The sequence below is a fragment of the Homo sapiens genome, chromosome 12 (assembly GCF_000001405.40).
Source record: "Homo sapiens chromosome 12, GRCh38.p14 Primary Assembly".
NCBI lineage: Eukaryota > Metazoa > Chordata > Mammalia > Primates > Hominidae > Homo > Homo sapiens.
The window spans coordinates 102,212,191-102,230,991 of NC_000012.12; the positions used below are offsets into that span (position 1 = coordinate 102,212,191).

The 18,801-nt window shown below is 37.3% G+C and overlaps 2 pseudogenes, besides 1 other annotated feature; both read right to left on the reverse strand.

Annotated features, from left to right (window-relative positions):
- Window positions 5,128-5,423, reverse strand: RN7SL793P (RNA, 7SL, cytoplasmic 793, pseudogene; annotated as a pseudogene).
- Window positions 14,562-14,731: an enhancer, noted in NCBI's record as "experimental_22907 CRE fragment used in MPRA reporter constructs". NCBI's record gives its function as "activates a minimal promoter by MPRAs in K562 erythroleukemia cells, with activity observed for both the introgressed and non-introgressed 12:102620615 variant alleles {active_cell/tissue: K562}" and the evidence as "EXISTENCE:reporter gene assay evidence [ECO:0000049][PMID:34662402]".
- Window positions 17,840-18,485, reverse strand: LOC100418882 (reticulon 3 pseudogene; annotated as a pseudogene).

Sequence of the window (18,801 nt, forward strand, 5' to 3'; positions counted from 1 at the left end):
CATTTGTTCATTAAAAACCTTCAACAGGTTTCACATTATTCTTAGGATTATATTTAACATCCTTATACAGTAATCTCCAAGCCTCTCCTTGATCTGGTACCCTCTTTCCATCTCTAATCTCTTCTTTAACACTCCTATACTTACTTACTCAGCCCCAGGCACATTGGCATATTTGCTGTTGCCTGAACATGCAAATTCCTTGAACTTGCTGTTTCCTTGCCTGAAACTCTCTTTCCTCAGATATCTGCCTGGCCTTCCTCTTAACCTCCAAGTCTTGTCTCAAATATCATTTTTTCAGTGAGGCCTTGCTTGGCCAGCCCTTTCCCTCACTATATCCTGCTCCCCAACAATTGATTTTTACTTATCCATATAACTTTTATCCCCCTGTGTGCTATATATTTTACTTATTTCTTGGTTCATTGGCTGTCTCCACCAAAATGTAAGTGCCATGAGGACAGGAATTTTATTAATATCAGTTTGTTCATTTCTATACCTTTAGTGCTTTAAACAGTATTTAGCACACAGTAAGCATTCAATAAATATGTATTGGACTGGGCACAGTGGCTCATGCCTGTAATCCCAGCACTTTGAGAGGCCGAGGCAGGTGGATCACCTGAGGTCAGGAGTTCAAGACCAGTCTGGCCAGCAGGGTGAAACCCCATTTCTACTAAAGAGACCAAAATCAGCCAGTCATGGTGGCATGTGCCTGTAGTCCCAGCTACTCGGTAGGCTGAGGCAGGAAGATCGCTAGAATCCAGGAGGCAGAGGTTGCAGTGAGTCGAGATCAGGCCATTGCACTCCAGCCTGGGTGACAGAGCAAGACTCTGTCTTCAAAAAAAAAAAAAAAAAGTATTGAATAATTGAATGAATGTTCTGCAATGTAACAGTCCAGTTAGCTATATAGCACTGCTTGGGATGCAGTGTGGCCTGCTTGTCTAACACTATTATGGAGATATTTCTATGGATTTATTTGTATTATTAATGATTGAGTTTATAATCCTATCTTTTAATGTTGTGTACTTCAAATGCTATTAGTTTTCTAGATAGCCAAAGATGGCTAAACTCTCTTCTGCCCTTCTTTAACTACAATTTAGAGAAGTGGAATTTCCATGTAAGCAACCTATTGAGCATCTTTACTGAATATCTTTTATTTGTGTATATTTTGGGGGTAGTGGGGAAAAGGGACATTTTAATGGCAAAACCTAAGTTAGGGCCCCATTCTCTACTTGAAACTCTAGACATTTTTAACTGAATTTTTAATAAAAAATTACTGAGGCTTTGTAGAAAAAGATGAGAATGGGGTAGCATAGAGTAGTTGCGCTAGCCACATTTCAAGTGCTCCAGTGCTGCATGTGGCTAGTAGCTACCATATTGAACAGTGTAGATATAGAACATTTTCATCATTACAGAAAGTTCTATTATACAGCACTGCTCCAAACAGTAGGAACTCTGAACATTGAGCTAGATAATAAGATATAATCATTTTATGTTTTGTATCCACAGTGGGGAAATGTAAGGAATTGTGTCTTGTAATTCTCTTATACTGTACCTTTATTTGCTCAACAGATGTTTGTTTTGCCTCTAATAATATATACCAGGCACTCTACTAGGCACTGGGAATTCAGGGGTAGACACAATAGCCTCAGGCCTTTCTGTATGGAGCTTGTATTCTCATGGAAGAGCAGTCATTAAGTAGATAATCATACAAATAACTATAGTCTCTATAGTGCTGGTTGTATAGTAGATGTTTAAATGACTGTTGATTAATTGACTAATGTGTACAGTCCCATCATCTTCTTAGATACTGACAAATCATAGGAACAAAAAGCTAGCTAGTAATTTATAGTTAAGGTCTGCAAGTAACATTAAAATTTCAGTGCAGTCAATAAATTTAGTTCTGTTCAGACTGTTTTTGTTATTTTTCTTATTTTTGACATAGAGCAAAGATTATGTCAGTTGCCCTGTGGTTTAAAGCCACAGTTATTCTAGAAGCACAGTTGCCATCATTGAGTAGTAGCTGATCCAAAAGAATTCCAGCCAAGGTCTTGCCAATGATGGAAAGAAATGATGTGTCCTGGAAGTTGCCAAAAATTATGTTTTTCTTGTTGAAGACAATCTTTGTATCTTTAAGCCCTTCATATGTTGTGACATGAGCACATATGAATGTTCCCTAAAAGGCAACAATTATGCTGTCAAATTCATTCAAGCAGTAGTTATCCCTGTATAATTTGAAGTTATACAGATGCCTAATAAGTGTTTTGATGCTGTTGCTACTGATGTTGCTGATGACATTACATAGAAAGTTGCAGAAGATAAACCATGAAGATTGACACTTTACCATTATTATTTTGATTTTGTTTCTCTCTTCACATCATCAAGTCTTGCTTATGCTGTTAAGCCCTAGCAGTTCTTTAATATGGAAGGGGGTATGACATATAATTTCCACCTCTGAGAATTATTTTCTTTTTGTTGATTTTTGCAACTTCATCCAGACTTCTCTAAAATGGTGTATCTGTGTGCTTTGTATTGTTGGACACTGACACTGTTGATGTAATAATCAGGGGCTTATTGTACCAGTTAATAATTAGCCAAACTCAGGAGGCTGAGGTGGGAGGATCACTTGAGCCCAGGAGATCAAGGCTGCAGTGAGTCAAGATCAGATCACTGCACTCCAGCCTGGGCAGCAGCAAGACCCTGCCTCAAAAACAATAATAACAATAATTATAATAATTAGCTTAGTAATAGAAATTCAAAGTATGGGTGTTTAAATAAATCAGAATTCAGTTTTTCTATGCAAAGAGAAGTGTGGAAATAAATTTTTTAACTTCCCAAATTTTTAAACACAAGATTTTTTAAAAACTTGATCATCTGATAAAATAGCCTATACATTTTTAGGGAAATAATTCTGCATAGGGTCTTACCTCCAGATAGCAAAACATTTTTTTAAAGCTATAGTAATTAAAATATGGTACATATGGAACCAGGAATAGGTAGATAAATGAATTGAGTGGAAAGCTCAGAAATATACCCAACTGTTTGTTATAATTTATTATAAGCTAAAAATTACACTCAAATCAATGAGGAAAAGTTATTTTGTACAATGACTAGTTTAACATAATGGTCTAATCGCTTGGGAAAAAGTAAAGTTAGAACTCTATAAGTCCTTATCAGAAAATGCAGTCCAAACATAATTACAATCATATGCCACTTAATAGGGACATGCTCTGAGAAATGCTTTGTTAGGTGATTTTGTTCTGAGGACTTTATAGATTGTACTTACCCAGATCTAGATAATATAGCCTACTACCCACCTAGACTATATGGTATAGACTATTTCACCTAGGCTATAAACCTGTACAGCATGTTACTGTACTGAATACTGTAGGCAATTGCAACATGATGGTATTGTGATTGTGTATCTAGCCATATCTAAACATAGACAAGGTACAGTAAAAATACAGTTTATATATATATAAACAGAATAATGTATATATAAACAAAATATATATATGTATATATATTTAAAATGGTATGCCTGTATAGGACACTTCCCATGAATGGAGCTTGCAGGACTGGACGTTGCTCTCAGTGTCATTGAGTGAGTGGTGAGTAAATATGAAGGCCTAGGACATTATACTACTGTAGACTTAAGAAGTCTACATTTAGGTTATACTAAATTTATTTTAAAAAATTTTCTTTCTTCAATAATAAATTAACCCTAGCTTACTTTTTTTATTTTATGAATTAAATTTTTTAACATTTTATTTTTTTGTAATAACAGCTTAAAACACAAACACATAGTTCAGCTATACAAAAAATATTTTCTTTATAACCTTATTCTGTAAGCTTTTTTCTATTTTTAAATTTTTTATGTTTTTACTTATAATTTTTTGTTCAAAAACTATGACACAAACGTACACATTAGCCTAGGCCTACACAGGGTCAGGATCATTAATATCACTGGCTTCTACCTCCACATCTTGTCTCACTGCAGGATCGTCAGGGGCAACAATACTCGTGGAGCTGTCATTTCCTATAATATCAATGCCTTCTGTAATACCTCTTGATGGACCTGCCTGAGACTATTTACAGTTAACTTTTTTTTGGAGGTAGAAGGAGTATACTCTAAAATAATGATTAAAAGTATAGTAAACACATACATCAGTAAGATAATCATTTATTATGATCAAATATGTAGTGTACATAATCATATGCACTGTACTTTTATATGACTGGGACTGCAGTGGATTTGTTTATACCAGCATCACCACAAACATGTGAGTCATGCATTGCACGATGACATCACTAGGCAATAGGAATTTTCCAGCTTCATTATAATCTTATGGGACCACCTCCATATCTGCAGTTTGTCATTGACTGAAATGTCATTATGCAACACATGACTATATATTTGTACACGGAAAAAAGCTTTTAATATATTATTTAAATAATTATTTACTATATTATTTAAAGAAAAATACAAAACCATTGTAAGATACATTTAAAAAACATCAAGCATATATTTCTTTCTGGTCGTGTATATGTTTGTGTGTCTCAAAGACTATACAATCATTCCTACCTATCACAGGACATTGGTTCCAGGACACCAAACCAAAATCCAGGGATGCTCATGTCCCTTATATAAAATGGTGTAATATTTGCATATAACCTATGCACATTCTCTGAGATACTTTAAATCAATTCTAGATGACTTACAACATCTAATACAATATAAATGCTATGTCAATAGTTGTTATATGTAATTTTTAAAATGTTTATTATTATTGTGTTTTTTAAATTGTTTTGTTTTAGAGTATTTTCCATTCACAGTTGGTTGAATCTGTGGATGCAGACACACAGGGAGAACCAAGTATATGGTAAAATATCAGTAGTGTTATTTCTGGGTAGTGGGATTATAGGTAGTTAAAATACATGTATTTACTTTTCTTTGTGCCTATCTGTATTCTGAGTTTTCTAAATTAAGCCTTGTTATAAAAAAAGAACTAAAAATAAGTGATCTCTATTATTGATTATATCACAATGCATATAGGAAATATGCTTTGATGCAGGAATAGTTGTTAAAAGTTGATTTATAACTCATTTTGTTTTCTTATTTAATTATTTTTAAGAGATGGGGTCTCACTGTGTTGCCCAGGCTAGAGTTGCCTATTCACAGGCATGATCCCACTACCGATCAGAACGGGAGTTTCGATCTGCTTCATTTCCAACCTGAGTGGTTCACTCCTCCTTAGGCAACCTGGTGGTCTCCCACTCCTGGGAGGTCACCATGTTGATGCCTAACTTAGTGTGGGCACCCCATTTGTATATAGCACATTACAGCCCAGAACTCCCAGGCTCAAGCGATCCTCCTGCCTCGGTCTTCCTAGTAGATGAAACTACAGTTGTGTGCCAATGTACCTGGCTTACATAACTTATTTTATCCCCGGCTATCCAGTACTGACTCCCGGTGATTCCACAGCTCCAGATTGGCACTTCTTCCCCCTGTACCAATGCGTAATTTGATCAGTTTTCTTGATTTTCAGTATTCCTGTTGTGTGTGACTAGCAGTTTCCCTTTTGCCATGACTTTAAAACTCCCCACACCTGGCCGGGCACGGTGGCTCACGCCTGTAATCCCAGCACTTTGGGAGGCGGAGGCGGGCAGATCACGAGGTCAGGAGATTGAGACCATCCTGGCTAACACGGTGAAACCCCGTCTCTACCAAAAATACAAAAAATTAGCCGGGCGTGGTGGCGGCGCCCGTAGTCCCAGCTACTCGGGAGGCTGAGGCAGGAGAATGGCGTGAACCCGGGAGGCGGAGCTTGCAGTGAGCCGAGATCGCGCCACTGCACTCCAGCCTGGGCGGCAGAGTGACACTCCGTCTCAAAAAAAAAAAAACAAAAACAAACAAAAAAAAAACTCCCCACACGTGATGATCACCCTGTGGTCAGTTTTGTTTGAATATGTTCCAACCTACAGAGTAGTTGTGGGTAGTTTTGACTGTTCACGATAATATTTACAAAGAATTGAATAAATATTTTTTATTTCCAAATATTGGTGGTGGTCGTGGTGATTAAGAATCTGAATCGGATGAACCAGCCTTGCCTTTAGAGAAATGTCCAAGTTACGTTTGGTTTATGGGGGCTCTATATTGGGAGAAGTGAAGAGGCCTAGGACCCAGGATTTCCAAGATAAGGTTGTTCAGCAGGGCTCATAGAGAACATCATTTAGAATTTGGCTTGTTCCCAAATGATTCCCTTTATAATTCTTAACAGAGAGGCTCTGACTGTATCAGTATGGTGTTTCTTTATTAAGCAAAAGCTCATGCCAAGTGACTTCAGGTGCATTTGACTTCATATTTAGTCACAGTGTGAATTTCTGTATGATTAACTTACCCATCACCGTGATGAAGAATGAGATGGTGGTAGTGATGCTGTGATTATATTACCTCTTTCATCCTTGATTTTTGGTGATTAGTCTTCCTTGAAACTTTCTCTTGACATGGACCATCAATATGGAAATCTGAAGCTTCCATTGATGGAGGTGGTCTCTGAACTAGCATCCATCCAAGCCAGGAATAGACTGCAATAAACTTATTGAGAATAACACAATCCTTAATTGTATGTGTAATCCATGGCTTTCACTGTCTTTACCACACCAAATGGCATTGCCAAGTCTTATTTTTCCTCCTTCCTCTGCTTCTCACACAACCTCTTTTCTTCATGCAATTCCATTTTCCATTCCATTTCCATTCAATGAATCTTCCAAGCCTAAAGGTTTAAATCTGGTCATCCCCCTCTCTTCCATGCAGTTTCATTTCTAAGATGGCATTGAGGATATTGCCATGGTTGTTTCATACTTAGTTGTTATTGTTATGATAGGTAATATATAATTCTGAACTAAAATTGCTGGCTATTTTTTGTCATTGTGACAACAGGTTTTAGAAACATAGCACTCCAATTTTGCTACTGAATGTTTTGATTAAATGGGAGGGACTAGAAGACTACAATTTAAGAGCAGGCTTCAGCAATAATTTTTAAAAATAGATTCAGAGTCGATCATCTTACTATATTTCTATCTAGGCTTATCTCCCTTCATGCAGTTAGTTACAACACTTGGAGGGCTGTTTCCAAGACTGGCACTAAAGAGGTCACTTTTTCCACTCTCTCTCCCAGAAAATATCAGGAAGTGCAGTAAGGTTCATGAAAATTTAAGCTTGAAGTTTAGAAAACTCAAAACAACCCAAACCCTCAAACATTCAGTTTGGTTTGAATCTTGGACAAAGGTTTTCTATGCAGCTAGTGGAGTTATTTCAGTTTAACGGCTGTAGTAACTTCATTTCAGGGCTAGGGGAAATTATGAAACCATAACTTGGATCTTATTTTAACAAAACCAAGAAATAAAAACACTGGGGAATCTGCATGGGAAAGGGGACCTACCTAACCCCAATTGCTGCTATTTTACTGTGGCAGCTCCTCTTACTATAGGAATTATGAAACCATTCTTTCCAATTCCTTCAGAGAGAGCTGACTTTTGAAACCGATTGAGTGGCCTGCATCCAATTAATAACCCTCCTGATGTGCGCAACAGGGAAGATCTTTCATAGGTGATTAAATCCAATAGAGTTAAGGTCTGTCATCGTGATTTCCCTCCTGGTCAACTTTCATTTCAAAAGTCATCCCAGGAGAACCACTGTAGTTCTTTACCTAGTTGACTTCTGAAACAAAATTTTCCACTTCAAAGAGAGCCCAATAATTTAGACCCTATCCTCCTTGGATACAATTTATTTTTTCCAAGAATAAGAATTTAATTTAATGACTATTTATTGAGTGGCTTCATTATATCTGGCATAGGATAATATATTCCAGGCAGAGGTATACAACATAGGGGGAAAAATGTCCTCAAAGATCTTTTGGACCAGTTCAATAATCAACAATGAAACATCTTAGAACAAAAACAAATTCAAAAAGGATTTATTTTGAAATAATCTAGAAAACCTCAGTTGATTTTTAAACATACCCAATAGAGTATGTCACCTCATTTACAGTTGATCACTTATCAAATACTGCAGAGCAAAATGAGGTCGAGCCTCAGGCTCTGCAGATGTGGAGCACAGCCTAAAGGGGCAAAGCATCAGCAGCCTGCTGAATTTCTGAAGCACACAATCTCAGAGGATTTCCGGACTATTTGGGGCTTCAGAGCATCCAGAAATACTGAAAATTTAATAAAGTTCGTGTTTTCTTATTTAGGTAGAGACAGATTTGCCAGATAATAGAAGTGACTTAACTAACAAGGTTCCAGTTAATAAGTGCCATAAATATTCCCCCAAAGTATCTATATTCTTATCAAACTAGCTTGTTCTCTTAATTGAGGATATACGTAGTGATTTTAGTTGGATTATATTAAGCATTCACCACCCTTTTAAGTGATTATTTCTGCTATTATATGGAATCATGTTACTATGAAATTTGAATTAACTCACATGAAATCTGAATCACAGCCAGTGAAATGTGGTTAATGGTATTTGTTGTAACTTGAAATTTTCCTTTTTTTTTTTGCATTTCTTTTAAAATATTGTTTTAATATTATGCTTTGATGATGTCAGTATCTAATTTCTTTCCTTCTTTATGTACTTTAGAACTACAGGGAGCAAATCTGTTTCTTAGAATATAAATCCATCTAGTAAACTTTTCAAAATTTGGAGATCTCCTAGAACTATTTTCTGAACTAATAATGATGCAATAATGATTACAGTTAATAGTGGAACTGTAGGAATATCATATTCTTTAATAACTTGAAATTTTAAAATTTGATTCTGAATATTTATCAAAACTATTATTGGGCAACCAATACATACTGTGTAAAGTTCTGTACTTAGGGATTGAACCAGTGGTTGAGGAAATGAAACAAATCTGAATGTTAAATGCCTATTAAGTGGCAGGGACAGTCAATTCCAAACAAGGAAGTAATCATTTCCAGATGGGGATGGTCTGAGTCCTCATGGAGGAGGTGAAATTAGTGTTCTCCTTTGAAAGGTATATGCATTTAGAGACTAGTGAGCACGTGTTTCAGAGGTGAGAAATTGATGCATCAGAGGCTGGAAAATGCATGCTGTGTGTGTGAAGGACAATGAGAAGACCTCTTTGCTGGGCTTAAACACAGAGTTGATGTAGGAGAGTAGTGGGTATTAGAGCTTAAAAGGTAGGATAAAGCCGGATTTTGGAAGGCTGTGGGCTTTTTGTCATAGATGCAAGGAGCTGTTTTAAGTTTTTGAGATGAGGATTGAAATGGTGAAGTAGTGTTTTAGGAAGATAACGCAGGTAGTAACAGGGTAAGTGGGAAAGAAAATGGTTGAAGATACGACAATTGATTAGAAAATTTGCACTTGCCTAAGAAAAGATGATAAAAAATCTAGTGTGTAGTAGTGGCTACAGTGCTGGAAGGAGAAACATTAGGAAGAGAACAAGGAATCAATATAATTTTGAGATTGCTAGACATGGGAAGTGAGGGACAACTTAAAAATGACACCTTTTGGCTTAATGTATGATTTTGAACCTGCGTATCAGGGATAATGATTATCATAAATGAGAAATCTGGAAAATAGGTCAGGTTGGGGTTAAGGGTAGAAAATAGGCTTTGTTTTAAGTGAATTGCTCTTGAGATAGTGGCATGTCTTCTAATAAGCAGGTGGAAATGCAGGACTCAATTTTATGAGAGAGATCAGGACTAGTAACAAAAAATGGTGACCATTTATATATAAGTAACAACCAAAGTTGGAGAGGTAAATATCACCTGAAGGCTTAGAAATGCTAAAAATGGAAAAGCAAATATCTGAGCTGTGAGATGTAGGACACACGAGATTTAGGTGATGAAAGGTGGAAAAAAGACAGTAAAAGAGACAGAAAACAAAGCAATTGAAAGGTAAAGAAAAGAACCAGAATATGATAGAGTCATAGAAGTCAAACAAGTTATGAGTTTTCAAAATAATAGTAGTGATTGGCAGTATCTCATACTTTAGACAGGCTATGCAGAATGGGGAATGGAAAACACCATTGATTATGTCAACTAGGAGTCTTTGAAGCCAATTAAGTATAATTTTCATAGAGTAGGAAGAGCAGAGCCAAATTGTGTGAGAAATAAGGAGGCAGTCGTGGTAAGCAGGTATATTCAACCCTTTGGGAAGAAAGGAGAAAAAAGAACAGTGGCAAGATGAGTACCAGGCCCTCTCCTTTTCTCCCTCCCCAGGCAGATTCAATCTCTTTCATGTAGAATCACCATTTGTATGTCAATACCTTCTGGAATTATATCACAAATATAGAACATCGTCCCTAACACCCTAGCTCCCATATATCAACAGCTCTTACTTTGGTATCAATAGATGCCACTTCAACTTCAACATCCGAAACTAAATTTATAATTTCCCCGTGCTCCTACTAAAAAACAAAACAAAATACAAATAAGCATAAATAAACAACAACCAGGTCTTCTTTTAGTGTTTTCCATTTCAGTAAGTAACATGACACTCTCCCCACTTGCTCACGCTAGAAAGCTCGGGGTCATTTTTGATACCCCCCTTTGCTCTTCATTTCTGTCATCTAATTCATCACCAAATCTTGTAAACACACTTCTCTCCACATCCACTGCCCCACTAGTTGAAGACTCGGTCATCTGAACAAACTCAGTAATATTTCACGTGTCTCCTCTGCATCTCCTCTTGCTCCTCACAGAAGCCAGTGTAATCCTTTAAATCCACAAACCTGATTACTATTACCCTCCTATTTAATACCTTCTAGTGGCCTCTTTTTTCCTTCAAGCCAAGTGATGTTATGAAAACAACTATTTTAGAATGAAGCAACTAACTCTGTATGGAGGAATTAGAAAAACCTTCATTAAGATATTGGCATATGGACTGGCCTTCAGTGTCTTCAGGTGGAGAATTCTATTAGTGTGAAGTATGGGATGAGAGTGACAGAAGATCATTCCGGCTTGAGGAACGTCATGTGCCAAGGTAGGAAGTAGGTGTTCAGAAAAGCGTGACAAGTTCAGAGGGTGATGTCAAGGGATGGGGAGTAGCTGTAGAAGCCAGTTTTTGAAAGCCCTTTGATGTTGGATTTTATGGAGGTTTTAAAGCAAGGGATAATATAAAGAACCAAGCTTTTTGTGGCAAAGGGGAAAGTTGACTGCAATGTTTGAGAGTCTTAGAGAAGAGAGAGCAGTTTAGTGCCTGTTGTAGGGACCCAAGAAAGGTGATAGAGGCCAAGACAAAGGCTGTGGGGCTGGGGAGAAGATTCCAGGCATATTTAGAGTAGGACCTACAGAAGTAATGCAACATTTGAGGCTAGATGTCCTTGAATAATGTTATTGTGAGTGGGTTTATGTGCAAAGCCTATGATCTGACCCTAAATTGACATGTTATTCTGTGGTCTCATACTCTGTAGAATGTATTATTTTTGCCACATGTAAAATGTACTAGAGATAAATTACAATTAGTTTGTTTCCTAGTCAAAGCTACACTAAAATTACAACCCAGTAAAAATATTTTTAAGAATCCAAATATCTGGATTTTTCACAGTTCTGTCTCTGATAAGTTTTAGAAACTTGGTCAAGTCATATACTCAGCCGGAGGCTTAAATTTCTCATTTGCAAAAGGAAGGAGTTGACTAGACTCACTGAATGACCTCTAAGGTTCCTTCAAGTTCCTTGGAACCAGTGTCAACCTCTAGGGTATTTTTCTGCTTTAGTTGATTGACTTGATTCTAACTAGCAGGAAGCAGACGGCTTCAGAGTTTCTTGAAAACATAGTTATCTCCTTGAAGAACTGTGGTCTAGGGAGTGTTCTGAGTAGCATTCGTAGACCCACCTTGTCTTATAAAATGCATTACATTTATAATCCTTCTAGAGGATCTTTCCAATCTCCCGTAGCTGGGTACCAAGCAAAAATCATTCCAGTTAATAAGAGCCATTTGTTGGTAATAGTTCTATTATATTTGGTGTGGCATATTTTCTTTTCTCCCCAAGGCTTCTCTTAACTAGGAGAAACTTAAAAGTACATTCATTGTCAAGTCTTCCTAGGCTTTTGATTTCAAGAACTTGTGTAGAATTATGTGTTTTTTTCCTTCAAGTACAATTTGCAGAAGGGTAGAGACATATATAATTTAATTGAACAAATTTAAACTTCCACTGTGTATGAAGCATTGTGGAGAAAAAGCAGGATGGGTAAAGGAATGTGCCAAGAGGGATAAGGCGCAATTTCTGTCTTCAAGTAAGTATATTATTTAACAGGAGAGCCTACAATGTTAATACATACTTCAAGTAGGTATATGAAAATGGTAGTACAGTAGAAGAGAGTGCTACATGTAGGATGAGTATGATTACTCCAGCCTTGGGCTTGCAAATTGGAATAACTGTCTTCTGGTAAGCGCTATTCCTAAATTCTGTCTGAGCTGGTGAATATTGGTATGAATAACCCAGGTATAGGTCTAAAATAATTGATCAACTTGTCTTTGGCAAGTGTATATAAAGTTTTAAGCAATCTCTTAACCACTTCAGATTACAGCGTATTGCTCATGTGAGAGATAAAAATGACCAACTGCTTGAAAATGGTTGATTGGTTATAAATAGACACAGTCTAAATTTTTGGCAAGAGCATGATAAAAGCTTTTATGAAGTTATGAAATTGTGGCAACATATTGTCAACTGTGGCACTTGAAGTCAAGTCATTAGAGAATCACATGAACAGATTTAGTATACTACTAAGCTGACAGACATACTGGCATAAACAGTTATTAAGCTGCAGACTAAACTGAAGATCAATTTTTTAAAAATGATGCTTTGCAGCATGTTGTATGGGTATTACATTTTTTATGTACATCATATTCAACTCCTGGATGAGTGTTATCTTAAGGTTTTCTGGGTTGAATTTAACATAAAGATAACAGGATTCCATTTCTAAAGATGGGGCATTTGTCTCATTCAATGTGAGTGCTAAAATATTCTTGTTCTATAATTCATTCTTCTGAGAGATAACTATGATTTCTGGTAGTGTAAAGGTGTTCTTCCCTGTTTTGTCTTTGTACCCTGAGAATAAACAATCATAGGTAAAATAAACTTAAAATAAATTGTAGGTGAAATAAACTTGCAGGTTTAAAAAGCATAAGAAAGCTAGTAAGCCAGGAAACTGGTATGTATATATATTTTATAAACCTGGTATTATATTTTATGTCTTCATCTAATTATGAAAGTGATTAAAAAGTTTAATATAGTGAAAAATGTGTCTAAATTGTGACAAAAGTTCTGATCCCAGATTTATGTCTGTATTTGTTCTCACGCTGCTAATAAAGACATACCCAAGACTGGGTAATTTATAAAGGAAAGAGGTTCAATGGACTCACAGTTCCACATGGCTGGGGAGGCCTCACAATCATGGCAGAAGACAAAGGAGGAGCAAAGTCACATCTTAGGTAGCGGTGGACAAGAGAGCTTGTGTAGGGAAACTCCCATTTATAAAACCATCAGACCTCGTGAGACTTATTCACCATCATGAGGACAGCACCATCATGAGAAGAGCATCATTAAAACCCGCCCCCAAGTTTTAATTACCTCCCACCAGGTCCCTCCCATGACACATGGGAATTATGGGAGCTCCAATTCAAGATAAGATTTGGGTGGGGACATAGCCAAGCCATATCAGTGTCACTAGGCCTTTAAGTTGGAGCAGTCCTATAAGAGGGCATGGAAAAGTCTAAGTCACCTTAAGGTATGTTTCCACCAGCTCTAAGCCTCTATTCTCCATCAGTATGTTAAGGCATACTGTTTAAAGAAATTTTTGTTAAAATGAAGTCTGTTGTCTGGCAGGAGTAAGATCTTAATATTAGCTGACAATTAAGCACTTAATTTGTGCCTAACATTATGCTAAGGACTGTACATTGGCTCTCTTAATGCTTATTAAATATAGTATGGCTATATAATATATATAATATATAATACTTATGAAATTGGTACTATTGTATTTAATCATTTTTAAGACACTTTTCACATTTTAGCACTCTAAAATTGGGATGTTTTACAATCAGTGACTTTTTTTGTTGTTGTTATTGTTTTGAGACAAAGTCTTCCTCTGTCGCCCAGACTCCAGGCTGGAGTGCAGTGGCACTATCTTGGCTCACTGAAGGCTCCGCCTCCCGGGATCACGTCATTCTCCTGCCTTAGCCTCCCGAGTAGCTGGGACTACAGGCGCCCATCACCACGCCCGGCTAATTTTTTTGTATTTTTGGTAGAGATGGGGTTTCACCGTGTTAGCCAGGATGGTCTGGATCTCCCGACCTCGTGATCTGCCCGCCTCGGCCTCCCAAAGTGCTGGGATTACAGGCGTGAGCCACCGCGCCCGGCCTACAATCAGTGACATCTTACAAACATAATTTAGAGTATTCTTGTTCTGTAAGTGGCACATAAAATCATGGTGAGAGTGACAATAAGAAAGCATCATAGATTAGATGAAATATGATATTAGCCACCATCCCCCTTTACCCAATCTGACCTAAAAGGAACCGAAACATGAAGAAGTTAAGTAATCTGTTCAATATCACAGAACTGGTAAATGCTTGAGCCAGGATTCCACACAATTGTTTAACTCAACCCAGGAACAATGCTTCCACACAGCATACCATGCTGCCTGCTGGTAATCTACCAGCACTTCTTAAGCTTTGGCGAAATTGGTGTATCTGAGTAGCCATCTTCAGAGAGCTGCACACTGGAGTTGCAGTGGCACAGTGGAGTTGGGAGGAGAGAGAATTTGCAAGGTCCAGAATGGACTGCTGAGTGAAGAGGCATGGTGGAAGACCCTTGGCAGTCGGGGTAATCATGAGTGAAATAGACCCTGAAAGGACAGAAAAGTTACAGGAATGTAGGGAAGCCATAAAGGTGGAGGCCACCCATTTTACTATTTTATCCAGGTCCAGACCTGCGTGTGCAAATACATCTATATGGGACACAGAAAGAAAATTCTTATGTATCAGGGAGAGTTATTTATCTATAGCTATATATTATCTATTTTTATATATTTATCCATATACGTATATCTAAATCCATATATTTTGAGAGACAGAAAAAAAAAGAAAAAAGAAAGTTGTGCTTTTTTTTTTTTTTTTTTATGATGGAGGCTTACTCTGTTGTCAAGCTGGAGAGCAGTGGCATGATCTCTGCTTACTGCAGCCTCCGCCTCCCAGGTTCAAGCGATTCTCCTGCCTCAGCCTCCCGAGTAGCTGGGACTACAGGTACACGCCACCACTCTCAGCTAATTTTCGTATTTTTACTAGAGATAGGGTTTCACCATGTTGGGCAGGATGGTCTCAATCTCTTGACCTCGTGATCTACCCGCCTCAGCCTCCCAAAGTTTGTGCTTTTTTAAAGGGAATATTACATTATGAATAAATATTTTCTTATCCTACAATTAGAATTTAAGATTTGATGTGTTCTGCATGTTTCTTTTTTATTTGCTTTCCCCCCCATAGTGCCATAGCACAATTTAGTGTAAATATTAGGAAGGGCAAGCATTTATTGAATACATAAATAATAAGAACTCTCTCTTTACCTCAAATACCATACAGAATCTTGGAAGCTTATTTGAGTTTAACAAAAAGATGCTTTAAGTGGGGGTGGGGAACCTCCTAAAGAGTTGTATCAGTTACTGAAATAACACAGACTAGTGTAATTTCTATTCCTGCTTGTCAAGAAACAAGGTAGGCAAATTAAAGTCATCAGGATCTAGCACTGCTGCTCTGCCTCCAACAGAAAAGATGAGCCAATGAAAAGACAAGCCAGTGAAAATACACTGTTACTCCCTGTCAGCCCCAGTGGCCATATGCACAAACACTATGCAGACCAACACGTACACACACACACACACACACACACACACACATATAAATTTATGTATTTTCTTTTGCCTATGTGTCTAGTCAGCTTAAATGGGTCGACTCGTGTTTTGGCTCCTATAACCAAACCAGACTCTTTGGCTCAGCTCTACCTGCAAACTTTCTGGCCTGCTTCAGTATAGTGAAGTGGTTTAAGTTTCTGAGAACAAATAATTAGGCTCTAGGAGAAGGCCAGGATTATACAAAACCCATTCGTTTTTGCTTCTGTGGGTTCTGTGTCTCCGTAAAAAAGGAAAACAAAGTTAGGTAAGAACAGTGTTCAGCTATGTGAGCTTCATGATATTTCTCCTATTATGTTATCAGAACACTTATTTAATTTTTGTTGTTCTGAACCTGAGATACTTAGGGATTAGTATTTTAAGTTACATCTCCTTTTAACCAACAATATAAATCTTAGACTCAGAATTAGTGTTGGCATGGACCGGAATCTGCCCTTATCTTTGTTCCCTCACCTTATCTTTGTTACTTATCTTCACTCTTTGGACTTAAAAGGTAATGAAGTTTCAAACTAGGTTTAGGAGCATCTTCAGCTACAGAAGGCGAGATATAAGGTATTTATTTATTTATTTATTTAAACTTACTCCACTATCTTTCTATGGTACTTTCTCCATATCATAAAAACTTTGGAGACCTGTATTATTGGGAAGATTGCTCAGCTACAACAGAGACTAAGTGAGGCACTGACTTCATCAAGTGATTTTTGGTGATCAAGCAGCAATAAATGTGCCCAATATAAACCTTCTCTTCCTCCAGTTCACAGGCACAGGATTTAAATCAATTTTAAGTGGTTTTAAAATGTAGCAGAGATTTCACTTTTTAGGTATTTTTTCTTTATCAGAGATATAACTTCCAAGAGATTTTTCTTTATTACTCCATTTAGGTGTTTTTCCAAATTATGAATCATCTACTATACTTATTTATTAATTGATACTTTAGTGAGTTAGAGTGAACTGCTTGCGTCTTCATTTACCCAGAGGTGACCACTAGTATTATTTTTATAGAAGTTACAGATATTTAATTTCCTAAGAAAACCACAACCTTGTCTGTTAAGCTTGGAGTGAGGTAGACAGAGGAGAGGGCAGGAAGCACTTTTCTCACATTCAAGCTCAACATCATGTCCAGAGGAAATAGGACAGAAACCTTCTTTCCCAGTCGGGGGGCTATTTCCTAAGGGAAAGCAGGGAAGTGAGTGTTCCTTTCCTAAGGGAAAGCAGGGAAGGGAGTGTTCCCCTCGATGGCTTTATTTTCTGTTTTTAATCTAGTTCGTCAGATGGAATTTTATGATTCAGGAATTATCAGTGTCACCTATGAGTTATTAATAGAATAGCAAGTTATTTTGACCAGTGAGGTGGAGGAAAAGGAAATGATAATAAGAGTAACTGCTCACTTTATGGGACAAGGAGATGAGGTCAGAGGAGAGTAAAAATAATCCATGTGAAAGATTATGTAAAAGTTAGCTAGATAGGAATTATTCTACTCCTTTCCCCAAATAACTTTTGTAGGGTAATCCTAATTCCTTAACTTAAAAATAAGGACAAAATTATGATAGAAAACTAGTTTAAGCCTTAGAGAACCAGAGAAGTGTGCTTTATCTTTCATTTCCATATTTATCTTCACCCTTTGCTTTTTCAAGCTGTGGACAAAAACTCCACCACCTTTAGAGGTTCTGGCTTATCCTAATAATTTGAATCTTTCCTTATTTTGGTTTCTAAGCTATCAATTCATTTTCAGCTTAACCTATTCTGGAGCTTGGTACTGAGACTGCAGAGAAGGGAGGTAAGAAAACCTCAACATTTCTAAAGTTTGGAAGTGAACATTGGACATATTCCTTTATGGTTCAAGTGCAATGTTATAACTCTTCAATGGTGATTTAGTAACTTGTCACATCTGTGATTTTCATGTGTTTATTCTGCTTTTTTATTTGGAGTGCCAGAGAGTTTTGCTTGGGTCCTTCAACAATTGTCTTGGTCTGATACCTGGCAACACAACATAATAATCAATCTGGGTTTGTACTTTTCATTGGAATGCTGAAAATGTACAGTTTGGCAAAGATTGGAAGGGCAGTTCTATGGAACTACACCAACTGAGGTCATTGGCCACATGAAGATGGCCAGATCTTCCACCAGAAACAGACAAATGATGAGTTTTGAGGTCCAATGAAGTGGTCACTCTCATAATTATGGCAAATTTATGAACTCTGAAAACAGTTCAATTGCATGGCCTTCTTGGATTTTTGTACAGCTTGAATGACAGACTTGTAGACTCTGAAGCTGATGGTGACAGAGAAGAGAGCCATGGTGAAATAAGAAGCCACAGTGATGATGCTGAAATCTCCAGGGAAAGTAGCATGATCCATGTGGGGTGAAGACAAACTCAGATTTCTTCACTTTTTGTCAGGAAACCAGATGGTGTATTATACAGAAAGCTGAAGAACAGGCTCCCAGGCAGCCCCTTTATCACACCTCCTTCTCCTGTTGCTGGGCATGGAGTGTTTGTCCCTCAAGGACAAAGAGGAATTAGATGGAATTGAGTGGCCTCCAATAGCTTTGCCATGGGCTTTTTCAGCAAGGACAATAGGAAAAGAAACAATAAAATAATTACGCCATGGGTTCTCCCAAGTCCCTTCACTCTTTCCCTCCATGCTTAGACGCCAACTACTAGTAATGTCTTGATAGCTGACCTTCTAGATTTTATTATTTTACATACCATTTTGAACCTTTCTTGCTTAATATTTCATTTAAAAATCTCTTCGGCCATTGTATTTTTCCTCATCAAAAATATTCTCCAAATGTTTTATTTCCAATTGTCTCTCTACCCTTGCTCCAATCCCATTCCACACAGGTAGCTACCAGTAATATTTTGACTTCAA